The sequence below is a fragment of the Homo sapiens genome, chromosome 1 (assembly GCF_000001405.40).
Source record: "Homo sapiens chromosome 1, GRCh38.p14 Primary Assembly".
In the NCBI taxonomy this organism is placed as follows: domain Eukaryota; kingdom Metazoa; phylum Chordata; class Mammalia; order Primates; family Hominidae; genus Homo; species Homo sapiens.
The window spans coordinates 1,253,912-1,266,417 of record NC_000001.11 but is presented as its reverse complement, the minus strand read 5'-3'; the positions used below and the strand labels follow the sequence as shown (position 1 = coordinate 1,266,417).

At 55.7% G+C, this 12,506-nt stretch overlaps 1 protein-coding gene across 14 annotated transcripts in view, besides 1 other annotated feature; it reads left to right on the top strand.

Moving 5' to 3' along the window:
* Positions 1 to 12,506, top strand: part of UBE2J2 (ubiquitin conjugating enzyme E2 J2) — a 19,943-nt gene extending 7,437 nt beyond the window's left edge. For 7 of the 14 annotated variants that reach the window (NM_194457.2, NM_058167.3, NM_194458.2 and 4 more), the window contains 5 exons: positions 3,032 to 3,072; positions 9,108 to 9,210; positions 9,288 to 9,426; positions 10,293 to 10,373; positions 10,931 to 12,506. In NM_194457.2, coding sequence (NP_919439.1) covers positions 3,057 to 3,072; positions 9,108 to 9,210; positions 9,288 to 9,426; positions 10,293 to 10,373; positions 10,931 to 11,215 — 624 coding nt within the window. In that variant the 5' untranslated portion in view covers positions 3,032 to 3,056 and the 3' untranslated portion in view covers positions 11,216 to 12,506. Of the gene's footprint in view, positions 1 to 127; positions 321 to 827; positions 1,636 to 3,031; positions 3,073 to 4,027; positions 4,150 to 9,107; positions 9,211 to 9,287; positions 9,427 to 10,292; positions 10,374 to 10,930 lie in introns of those variants that run through there. The other 7 variants (XM_047444339.1, XM_047444356.1, XM_047444358.1 and 4 more) reach the window with 4 other exon arrangements.
* Positions 824 to 2,023: an enhancer, noted in NCBI's record as "BRD4-independent group 4 enhancer chr1:1199775-1200974 (GRCh37/hg19 assembly coordinates)". NCBI's record gives its function as "activates an origin of replication core promoter dependent on BRD2, P300/CBP, MED14 and CDK7 cofactors, and independent of BRD4, by STARR-seq in HCT116 cells {active_cell/tissue: HCT116}" and the evidence as "EXISTENCE:reporter gene assay evidence [ECO:0000049][PMID:35650434]".

The window sequence follows — 12,506 nt, the reverse complement described above, 5'->3', positions numbered from 1 at the left end:
GTTTCACCATATTGGTCAGGCTGGTCTCGAACTCCTTATCTCAGGTGATCTGCCTGCCTCAGCCTCCCAAAGTGCTGGGATTACAGGCTTGAGCCACCATGCCTGGCCTAATTTTTTTTAATTCCAGAGAAAAGATATTTCAGTGAGTTGAAAGGAAATGTGTTTCGGCTTGGTCAGGGGTCCACCTTCTCTGGCTCACAGAGGAGGCCCAGCCCAGGCAGGCGGAGGATACCCAGGGTGAGGCGGAGCCCCTTGGCCACCAGAGTGCTCTCTGCCCCCAGTGTTGAAAATCACATGTGGCCCCAGGACATCGCTGGCAGGTGAGAGGGACAAGTTCCACGGTAGCCGCCTCCTCGCTGGTTGCGAGGACGTCTTCATTGTGTGGGGAAATCCCTCCCCACAAATCTGTGGGTCAGGCGTCCCCAAGTCCCGGTGCAGGTTCGATGATTCACAAAGAATACTCACCATTAAAATTACGGAGAGAAGTCCAGGCACAGTGGCTCATGCCTGTAATCCCAGCACTTTGGGAGGCCGAGGTGGGTGGATCACAAGGTCAGGAGATTGAGACCAGCCTGGCCAACATGGTGGAACCCTGTCTCTACTGAAAATACAGAAATTAGCCCGGTATGGTGGCGCACGCCTGTAATCTCAGCTACTTGCTACTTGGGAGGGTGAGGCAGGAGAATCGCTTGAACCCGGGAAGCGGAGGTTGCAGTGAGCTGAGATCGCACCACTGTACTCCAGCCTGGCGACAGAGTGAGACTCCACCACACACACACACACACACACACACACACACACACACACACACACAATGGAGAGAAAACACACACACACACACACACACACACACGAGAGAAAACTGCAGTCAGCCAGCGGAAGAGGCATGTGGGGCAAAGTCTCTGTGCTCCATTCCCAGCAGCAGGCTTGGGTTTGGACGGCATGTGTGGAATGTTGAGCAGAGAAACTCATTGGAAACTAAAACATTAGGGGAAGGCCCAGGGACTTTATGGGGCTGGTCCTAGGCACCCTCTGCCTGGCACCTGCCAAAATACCAAAATACCAGACTTCCAGGAGAGCAGGGGCTCAGCGTAGCCCATGTTGCCTGTACTGTTGAGGCATTAAGGACAGCAGCGTCAGTGCGAGAGCCCCTGGCAGGTCCTCGGCAGGTGTCTCTCCCTTCCCCGAGAGAAGACTGCTTTCCCAGAAAAGGCCTGTGGGGTGCGCTATGGGCCACGTGGATCCCATCTTCTCTCAGCCGCCCCAAGGCTGCTGGGCTCTGTCTCAGGAAGAGGATGACTTCTTCATTTCTTCCCAGTTTTCGCAGGTTGGGCACAGTAACAACGTAAGGCCACATTCCTGGGTGCATCGCGTGCTGAGCTCAGAGCCACTGGGTTCCTGGGTCAATGACACATGATAATGGCATTTTTTGAGTAAAACATACCAGCTGGCTCTGCTGATACATCATCCCATTAGTATACATTACTATACGTCATCCCATTAGTAGTTTCTTTTGAGTACTATTTCTGTCACTCAGGCTGGAGTGCAGCGGTGTGACCTCGGCTCACTGCAACCTCCGTCTTCCAGGTTCAAGCGATTCTCCTGGCTCAGCCTCCTGAGTAGCTGGGATTACAGGTGTGTGCCACCATGGCTGGCTAATTTTTGTATTTTTAATAGAGACAGGGTTTCACCGTGTTGCCCAGGCTGGTGTTGAACTCCTGACCTCAGGCAATCCACCTGCCTCAGCCTCCCAAAGTGCTGGGATTACAGGTGTGAGCCACCGCACCTGGCCTAATTTTTGTATTTTTAGTAGAGACGGAGTTTCGCCATGTTGACCAGGCTGGTCTCGAATTCCTGACTTCAGGTGATCTACCCACCTTGGCCTCCCAGAGTGCTGGGATCACGGGCATGAGCCACCGAGCCCAGCCCCCATTAGTTTTAAAGTGATGGCACACATGTCCTGGGGCAGAGCAAGGGGAAAGATGATGGCCGGTGTTGGCCGGTGTTGGCAGTTGAAGCCATGTCTGGTTTCTGGCATTTCTAGCTGGTTTTACTTTCTTCTCTGTGCTCTTCTGTTTCGTTTGGGAATCTGTAAAGCCCAGACACTTCTTTACGTAAAGCAGAAGCCTTATTTATTTGTGTGGAGGAGTGTTTAGTCGATTTGCTGCTGCCCCTGGTCTGAGGGTGAGCTCTGTGTGGGGACTGTGGCTTTGGACACAATCACGGCAGTTCCTGTTCCTTCTGCTCCAGGACAGCTGCTCAAGTCACTTATGGTTTTTCCAGGAGCACGAGAAAGGGCTGGGGGTACCGAGCCGGCCCCGCATCACTAGCTGTGTTCTGTTTAGCCTGCATGTGTGATATCAAAAAACACATTATATATAAGTACATTTAAGAATATACATTTCAAAGTACATCGTTTTTTCTTTGGAGATAGGGTCTCACTCTGTTGCCCAAATGGGATGTGGTGGCACAATCATAGCTCACTGCAGCCTTAAACTCCTGGGCTCAAGTGATCCTCCCGCCTCAGCCTCCTGAGTAGGCGGGCTGCAGGCATGCACTACCACACCCGGCTAACTTTTTTTTTTTAAATAAAGGTGGGGTCTTGCTATGTTGCCTAGGCTGGTGTCAAGCTCCTGGGCTCAAGCGATCTTCCACCGTGCCCTCCCAAAGTGCTGGGATTACAGTCTTCAAGTACATCTTAGTAATGTACTGTGAAATTAAAATTTATTTAAGATTTCAGTTATTATTAAGATGAGCTTCGTGCATGTTATATTGTCGAAACAAAGGTACTTTATGGTAAACTTATAAAGTATAGTCTCTAAGATCCTGTTACAAGAGACTAAAAGCACCCACGGTAGAAGAGACGGGGGTTTTGAAGCCGTGTGGCTGTGTGACATTTCACCTTCATTTGTTCACTGCCTGAATGTGAATGTAATTTTGGCTGGGTTCTATAAACCCCAGGCTTGGAATGATTCAGATTTTGGAGAATTTGCTGTCCTCAAATCCCAAGTAATTTTCTTCTCTCCCTTAGGCACTATGTCGTCCGAGGCCCAGAGATGACCCCTTATGAAGGTAAGGATTCTGTGCTTAGGAGAAGAACACCAGGCGGTTTTTATATTCTCAGTCAGCCTTGCCTGTTCAACATCTTTTATTTGCAAACAGCAGCCTTTCTACTTTGGATGTGTGCTAGTTAAATTGGCTTAGTTGGAACTCCTCCTCGTCTGCTTCTCCACACGCTGGAAGTGTTTGCTCTGCTGATGTGTCTCAGCCTGCAGGGCCGCCTGTAGCGTCTGTGTTCACCAGCCTCTGACACCATAGGGCCATAGCTGAGAAAACCAGACCGGGGTAAACACTGAAGCTGGCCTGTTCTACTATTTCTTAAGACCCAGTGCATATCATCAAAGGAAAGGCACATATATTCAGTTATTCAGTGTGCCTTCTGTGCTGGGCGCCCCCAGGGTTTCGCAATCCCCAGGACGGTCTCTGAGCTAAGTGGAAGTACCCCTGTGTGGTGGCACCTGGGGCTTCGGTAGGCTGCAGGACCTGTCCAGCACCTCAGCCCTTCATCGACTACCAAGGCTGATCCAGCAGCCTGACCCCTCCAGGTCAGCAGACACCACCTAGAGACCTAGTGTCATTTATAGAGAAGATGCTGGAGCTGTCAGTAAGTTTCTGGGGCCTTTGGCGGAGGCTGGCGCCAGCCTCGATCTGGACCAGGTCAGTAGTCAGTGTGCCCGTGAATACTGTCCCGCCGGCAAGCACAAGGCAGAGCAGGGCCAGGTCAGCAGTTGCTGTCCAGCCACAGGGCCCCGGCTTCAGGTGGCTGGAGCAGCAGGCTCTGTTTGCCTGTGTGTGGAGGCTTTGGATGAGATTTCACTAGAAGAGAGTGCTGCTGCTAGAAGAAGGTTTGCAACCCCTGCTTTGGACTGTCGGGAGGGTTGTGGGTGGGTAAGAATGAAAAAGGCTCTCCTGAAGGCATTTTGGCCGAGTTAACACAGCCACACCTGTGGACTCTCCTTTGGCCCAGGAATCCCAGTTCTGGATCATCTGCAACTAGGGCAGCCAGAGTGCGGGAGTACATCTGTAGGGTGGGCCCTCCATCATCGTGTCATTGCCCATGACCAGCGTTGGGGATGCCAGCAGGCCGTGGTGAGATAAGGCCCGGGAGCAGGTGTCCAGGGCGTGTTAAAGTACTTGTTACGATGCGTGTGTGTGCCTTCAGCTGATCTGAAGAATATATACCACCGAGTGAGTAGTGGTCGGCCGGGCGCGGTGGCTCACGCCTGTAATTCCAGCACTTTGGGAGGCTGAGGTGGGCGGATCATCTGAGGTCAGGAGTTCGAGACCAGCCTGACCAACACGGAGAAACCCCATCTCTACTAAAAATACAAAATTAGCCGGGTGTGGTAGTGCATGCCTATAATCCCAGCTACTCGGGAGGCTGAGGCAGGAGAATCACTTGAACCCGGGAGGCGGAGGTTGCAGTGAGCCGAGGTCGTGCCGTTGTATTCCAGCCTGGGTGACAAGAGTGAAACTCGTCAGGAGATCCAGACCATCCTTGCTAATACGGTGAAACCTTGTCTCTACTAAAAAAATACAAAAAATTAGCTGGGCGTGGTGGTGGGGCCCTGTAGTCCCAGCTACTCAGGAGGCTGAGGCAGGAGAATCGCTTGAACCCAGGAGGCGGAGCTTGCAGTGAGCCGAGATCGCTGCACTCCACCCTGGGTGACAAGATCAAAACTCCATCTCAAAAAAAAAAAAAAAAACCAAAATGGGTGGTGGTCTTTGACAAGCAAAATTATGCCAGCTTTACATTTTTTTTGTTTGTTTTGTGGTTTTAGTTTTTTAAAAATAAATAGTGAATATTAATTCTGTATCCACACCCAGTCTCCCTCAACTTCACCAGCTAGGTCAGTTGCTGGTGGAGATGAGCTGCTCCCCCAACAGGGCTGGACACAGTTGGGAGAAGAGGGGGCAGCCCCTGGGTGTGGTGCGGCCGTTGCCAGCCCCAACCCTGTCACTTGTGCTTTTATCTTGGTCCCCTCCCATCGCTTCCGTTGTTCCCCACAACCGTGTGTGGCTCTGTGCTGGTCCTGGGTCTCAGGAAAGCCTCCCTTCAGAGAGAGAATGTGTGTTCCTACTGCCCCTCCCATTTCCCTCTATGGCACTGCTGCTCCCGTCCCCGCGGACCTCCCCCTCACTGGGGGATGCCTTTTGCTCTCTGCAGCCCTGCCCTCTGCTCTCCTTCAGGGTCTCCAGGGAACCCCTCCGAATTGCCACTTGCCGAGGGGCTGTTCTCAGTCCTCAGTTTCTTAGCCTCTGGTATCTGATGCTGCTGACGACAGCTTCCTTCCTGACTTCGGGATTTCTGACCCCTTTTCCTGCCTGTGCATTAGCTGCGTCCCCTCCGTGCACTGGGTTCCGTGGCTGTTCTGCCCCTGGTGCTGCCCAGGCGTGCCCACTCTGACAGTTCAGAGCTGGCTTCCTACAAATGTTGCTAAATCATTCCCCTTGAGTGAATCTGTAGATTTCACACAGTCCTAACAAAATCTCAGTTTTTTATACTACACAAGCTACATGCAAAGGCAAAGGACCTAGAACAGTTAAAACCATTTTTCTAAAGAATGAAGTGGAGTCTGTGGTTTCAAGACTTACCCCAGTGATGAGGGTCAGGCAGTGGTAGAGGAGGGACAGGCCATGGGGCAGAGTAGCCAGCTAGGCCTTTGCCTCAGGCTTTTCAGCAGATGGCCTGGGGTGTGGGGATGTTCAAGCTGCCAGGGACCCACTTCAGGACAAGTGGGTGCTTCCTGATTTTCATCTGGTGCTGTGAACGTCTGTGTGTGTGTGGCTCTTGGTGCCTTTGTCTTGGGTTTCTCTGGCGGGTGACAAGCAGTGGGATAGCCGTCTGGGGCTTCCCGATAGGTGTGCGCGCAGTGAGGCAGCAGGGCGCCCGTCTCCCATCCCGACAGGTGTGCGCACGCAGTGAGGCAGCAGGGTGTCCATCTCCCAGCACCCTCTGCGCTCAACTGGCTGTTTCCTGCCGTGTAAGTCACTCTTGCCCATTAGCACCGAGCTAAACATCGTTCCAGCCTCGCTTTGGCTGTTCCCGCTTCCTCTTTTAAGCAAGCCTGTTTCTTTCACTCACTTTCCAGTTTGGCCTTTCCTTATGATCTCTTGTGTCTTCTGGGTGTCATTCCTGGGCTTCGCCTCTCCCTGGTGGATGTGGCCGCACGCCAGGATGGGTGACAGTGGCACTTGCTCATGCCGTCCCTCCACTGTTGACTCCACCCCTGTTCCTGCGTGTCCTCGAATGCCAGCCCTGAGCAGAGTGCAGAGAGGAAGCTGCAGCGTCCCCCTGCTTGGCCATGTGTGTCTTCAGGGGAGGCAGACAGTGAAGCCGTGTTTTCATTTAGGATCTATGGGAGGGAGAGCAGCCCCTAGTGATCAAGAGAGAGACACGAGGGAAACACGTGCGGGAGGCCACACATGCAGGGAGGCCAGGGAAAGTGGAGAGAGACTGGAACCCCCAGGCCGACCCTTTATTGGGTCCAGGGCGTTCTGCACACAGGTTTCCCTTGGGGAGTTTTAACTGGTGGGTTTAATACAAGCGGGCACGAGCCCCGTGGGGCCACGCTGTGACTGTGGGGGACTCCGTGGTGTGGCTGCACAGTCCATGTGGGGCGTGGGGTCCGTGGGGACATGGGGGGTGGTCACCAGGGGACAGTGCGTAGGGCGGGCGTCTGGGTGGATCAGCTCGAGGAAGGGGGATGTGAACTGAAAATTGTTGCGGGTGGCAGCCCCGCTTCTGGTCAGAGAAAGTCCAGCCTAGATTCAGAGTGGATGCCGAGGCGGCCTAAGATGATGAGCGTTCCTGCAAGATGTAAAGCACTCGAGGGGCAGGGGTGCTGCATCCTACACAGGGTGGGTCTAGAGCAGAAGAGCCCGTGGCGATTTGGGGACTCGCATTGGGGCAGGGCTGTGCACAGGGAGCCCAAGGGAGGACAGAGGCCAGTGCTCCTCAAACCTGATGGCATGCACACGCATACACACGCATGCACGTGTCCTGATGGCACGCACACACATGCCCACGCCCATGCGTCCTGATGGCACGCACGTGCACACGCGTCCTGATGGCATGCACATACACATGCACACACACGTGTCCTGATGGCATGCAGACACGCACATACATGCGTCCTGATGGCATACACACACACATGCACACAAGTGCGTCCTGATGGCATGCACACACTCAGACACGCACACACGCGTCCTGATGGCATGCACACACGTGCGTCCTGATGGCATGCACACACATGCACACACGTGCGTCCTGATGGCATGCACACACACATGCACACACGTGCGTCCTGATGGCATGCACACACTCAGACACGCACACACGCGTCCTGATGGCATGCACACACACGTCAACGCATGCAGGTGTGGCCAGGGAGTCCTGGCTTGTGCACTTGTGGTCCTCTGGTTGGGGTTGGCCCCAAGCTCTGAATTTCCAACCAACTCCAGGTGCAGCCTGGGCAGCCAGCGTGTGGGCCTCGGGCTGGGGCGGGGCTGCCATGAGGCAGCTCATAGAGGGCCTGGGAGCAGGGCCAGGGGAAGCCACACAGGGTGTGCGGCTCTAGATTGATTTGAAGGTGGGGCCAACAGGATTTGCTCATGGAGTGGGTGTGATACCAGGAGGATGGAGTTGCCAAGTTGCCATTTGGTGGAAGTGGCCGGATTTCTGTCCTGGATGGGGGCGTCTGGGCGCTGTGCTGTGGACGGTCAGTGTAGTGGCCTGGAGTGTGCACAGGGCCCGTGGGTGCAGGGTGGGGGAAGTGGCTGAGCAGCCATTGCAGGGCTCCTGATGGGAGGCCGTGAAACTAGGGCGACCCCAGGAGGATGCCAGGACTGAGAGGAGAGCACCCTGTGCTTGGGTGGGCGAAGAGGGGCTGGCTGGAGTGGGAAGAGGGGGTGGGGAGTGGAGGAGCTAGACCAGGGTGGGGCTTTGGAGAGGCGGAGCCAGGAGTGGCCCCTTATAAGGCTATGCCGTTGGGTGGTCAGAAACCAGTGGTATGGCTGGGGGAGGTGGCTCACGCCTATAATCCCAGCACCTTGGGAGGCCGAGGCGGGCGGATCATGAGGTCAGGAGATAGAGACCATCCTGGCTAACACGGTGAAACCCCGTCTCTACTAAAATTAAAAAAAAAATTAGCTGGGTGTGGTGGCGCGCGCCTATAGTCCCAACTACTCAGGAGGCTGAGGCAGAATAATCACTTGAACCTGGGAGGCAGAGGTTGCAGTGAGCCAGGATCGAGCCACTGCACTCCAGCCTGGGCGACAGAGCAAGATTCTGTCTCAAAAAAAAAACAAAACAAAACAAAAAAAAGTGGGAACGTGTGGGTGACCCTGAGGTCGATCTTCAGGTCAGGTTTGGTAGAGCAGGGAGAAAGCCTGGTCAGGTGGATTTGAGAGCTTGGGAGGGGAGGACGTGTGAAGAGCCATGAATGAGGCCCGAATCCAGGGGATCAGGTCAGGGCAGGGGGCATTTGGCAGAACTTGGAGGGGTGTGTGGTGGAGAGTGGTGTGTTTGAGGTGCGTTTTGCTGGCCTTTGGGTGCAGTTGGGTCGGGGAAGCAAACGGTGCTGGAGAGTCGCTGGGTCTGGACCTGAGTCCTGAGAGGGGCGGCCTCAGCTGGGCCTGGAGCTCCTGCTGTGCTGGGGGTGTTGCAAGGAGGCCCTGCATGCCTCTTCCGACCCCTCTGCTCCTGGTGGGGGTGTGTGTGGACACTCCAGGGAGAGGGGTGTGCAGTAGCTGTGGTTGTCTCGAGCTCCCGGGGCAGTGGGGGTCTGGGTCCAGTCGGGTGGTGGGTACAGGTGGGGTGGGGAGGGGCATTGGGTCTGGGTGGTCATGACAGTGGGTGGTAGTGGAGAGCAAGGTCAGTGGGGGACTGAGCCTGGGAGCCGGCTGGGGACGGAGAGTGCAATGAGGACTCGGGAGCCGAGCTGAGGGGGGGGGGGGGGGTGGCGTGGGGGGATGGGGACGAGGTCTCCAGGAGCCCCTGCTGTGGCGGACGACAAGGCCCTTTCTGTTTTGTTTCCATGTAGGTGGCTATTATCATGGAAAACTAATTTTTCCCAGAGAATTTCCTTTCAAACCTCCCAGTATCTATATGATCACTCCCAACGGGAGGTTTAAGTGCAACACCAGGTAAGGTGCCTGGAGGGGCCGCGGAGGCTTTCTGGCTGCGGTGGGGAGTGTGCACTGACGGGGCCCCCGTTTTGCAGGCTGTGTCTTTCTATCACGGATTTCCACCCGGACACGTGGAACCCGGCCTGGTCTGTCTCCACCATCCTGACTGGGCTCCTGAGCTTCATGGTGGAGAAGGGCCCCACCCTGGGCAGTATAGAGACGTCGGACTTCACGGTAAGTTTTAGAGCCTCTCCCTGGTGGGCCGTCAGCCTTGTGTCTGGGGGGCTGTTCTCTGTTCCTGAGTTGCAGCTGCCTTTTTTTTTTTTTTTTTTTTTTTCTTGAGACGGAGTCTCGCTGTGTCTCCAGGCTGGAGTGCAGTGGCGCAATCTCGGCTCACTGCAAGCTCCGCCCCCCGGGGTTCACGCCATTCTCCTGTCTCAGCCTCCCAAGTAGCTGGGACTACAGGCGCCCGCCACCACGCCCGGCTAATTTTTTTTTTTGTATTTTTAGTAGAGACGGGGTTTCACCGTGTTAACCAGGATGTCTTGATTTCCTGACCTCGTGATCCGCCCGCCTGGGCCTCCCAAAGTGCTGGGATTACAGGCGTGAGCCACCGCGCCCGGCCGCAGCTGCCTTTCTTCTCAGTAGGCGGGGCTGGGTGGAGTTCCCACCTTGTCCCAGGCACTGTCGTGGAGACTGCTTTGCTCTGTGGCCTCGTGTTCCCCGCTGCCTCTCGGTCTTGCTTTTATCCACATCCAGCCTCATCCACACCCGCCAGGGGCTCCTCCTTGGGATCTTGGGGTGGGCCAAGGCGGTACCAGTTGCACAGACGGCCCGGGCCTTGTCAGCGGGGAGCCCGGTGCTTTGGTGGCTTGTTTTTCCCTGTCTTTAATAGGAATCAAGTGTGATATCATGAATTGATGGGGGGAAGATTAAGAAGGCTTTGTAAGACTATAAGTTAGTTTGCTGTGAAGAGTGTGCTTATTAAATGCTTTCTGCAACACGAAGACTGCAGCCCTTGACTTTGAAATCATCTGTTTTTAGAATCTTGAAAGAATTGAAATTAGTTTTCTGGCTGATTCCCTTCCCTTCCTTCCTAGAAAAGACAACTGGCAGTGCAGAGTTTAGCATTTAATTTGAAAGATAAAGTCTTTTGTGAATTATTTCCTGAAGTCGTGGAGGTAAGAAAGACGGAAGTGGGTTTCGCCTTCCCCTGCGTTAAAACACTTGAGTTTCACCTCTTTCCAAAGAGTAAAATCTGTGTCCTGAAGCTGCAGACCTCCCCAGGGGATGGCTCCTCTCCCCCAGGAGCCCCGAGGCAGGGGAGGCAGAAAGCCTGGGCTCTGGGGGGTGGCCTGCGGACAGCTGTGCTGGTGGGCCGGGGGCTGGGCCTGTCCCACAGGGGCGTGGAGCTCGTGGTTCTGAGCAGCCAGCTGGGTGGTGTCTGGGGATAGCTGGGAGGCACAGCGGCTGCCATGTGGGACTGGGACTGGAGTGCTCCCTGGTCTTGGCCTCTGTGGCTCAGCCTTGCTCTGGTCTGCCTGAGTGCAGGGGCCAAGGGGCACAGGGCCAGTGAGGCCGGCCACGCTCGGGCCCTCACCTGTGAGATGGGGTCGGAATTTGACACAGCCTAGGGCTTGGTTCTTGGTGGTGGACCGTGGACTCCTGAGAACGGGAGTGCTGGTCCTGAAAGGCGCTGGTTGGAGACCAGCTGCTTTTCTCGCTGTTTTTCTCTTAGGAGATTAAACAAAAACAGAAAGCACAAGACGAACTCAGTAGCAGACCCCAGACTCTCCCCTTGCCAGACGTGGTTCCAGACGGGGAGACGCACCTCGTCCAGAACGGGATTCAGCTGCTCAACGGGCATGCGCCGGGGGCCGTCCCAAACCTCGCAGGGCTCCAGCAGGCCAACCGGCACCACGGACTCCTGGGTGGCGCCCTGGCGAACTTGTTTGTGATAGTTGGGTTTGCAGCCTTTGCTTACACGGTCAAGTACGTGCTGAGGAGCATCGCGCAGGAGTGAGGCCCAGGCGCCGAGACCCAAGGCGCCACTGAGGGCACCGCGCACCAGAGCGTGACCTCGGCAGGCTGGACACACTGCCCAGCACAGGCAGACCCACCAGGCTCCTAGGTTTAGCTTTTAAAAACCTGAAAGGGGAAGCAAAAACCAAAATGTGTGACTGGGCTTTGGAGGAGACTGGAGCCTCAGCCCTGTCCTGGCCACGGGCCGCTGGGGCTGGTGTGGGTGGGCCTTGTGTGCTGGATTTGTAGCTTATCTTCCGTGTTGTCTTTGGACCTGTTTTAGTAAACCCGTTTTTCATTTTATTAGATGTGGTCACTTAGAAATGCAAACTTGCTGCCGACCGCGGGCTGCTCCTGCGTTCTTGGAGCTCCTGGCGCGTTTCTCGGAGCTCCCGGCTCCTCAGCGGGTGGGAACCTCGGGGCCCAGGGGTGGAGCTGGCGTCCGCGGGTGCTGGTCTGGCCTGGCCGTGTGGTGATGAGGCTTAGCGGGGCCAGTGACGGCCGTGGCTCAGGATCCATAAGTCGGGGTTTGGTCTCAGCATTTACAAATGTGTTTACAGTCAGAATGAAACACATTCCTTCTAGAAAGTGCTTGGGGGTTTTTGCTGCCCTGGAAGCCAGGAGCCTGCTCACTCCAACCACAAGTCGCCCTTGACTGCGGCGGCCGCGAGCGGGGCGGGGGCTGCCGGTGCCCTCCGCAGGCCGGGCCTCCTGGGCGCCCCTCGGTGCTGCAGGCTGGGGGGCCTTGGGTACCTGCAGAGCCTTTTCTCTGAATTCCTTATGTCCGGTGGGCCAGAAGCCCGTCCTCCTATGCTGGTGGAAGGCGGAGGACCGGAGTCCCTGCAGAAGGCCCCGTGCACTCGGGGGCCTCCCTCACATCCCGTGCCCCCTGCGCTGGCCTTCACAGTAGGTAATGGCTCCGGCCCGGGTGTTCGCTGTCCACGGAACATGGCAGAGGGGCACCCCGGCCCGGAAAGACGCCAGAGCCAGCAGGGGCTGTTTCGGGCCGCGTGGCTCCCCGGGTCTCGGCCGTCTCCCCTCTTCTGCGTCTGTTCCGTGACTTCGCCTGGGTGGGATGTACCGCAGGTGCATCGCGTCGAGGTGGGGCACGGCCGCCGGCAAGAAACCCACCCTGTCCGGAGGCGGGCGTGAGACAAGCCCAGCCCGCACGCGCTCATCTTTCTTCGTTTTTTGATCAGTTTATTCAGAATTGCTCTATAATTTACCAATTGTATGTATTTAACCTATTCTTGTGGAAAAAAAAGGTCTTTCATTATATCTTTATTTCTGAA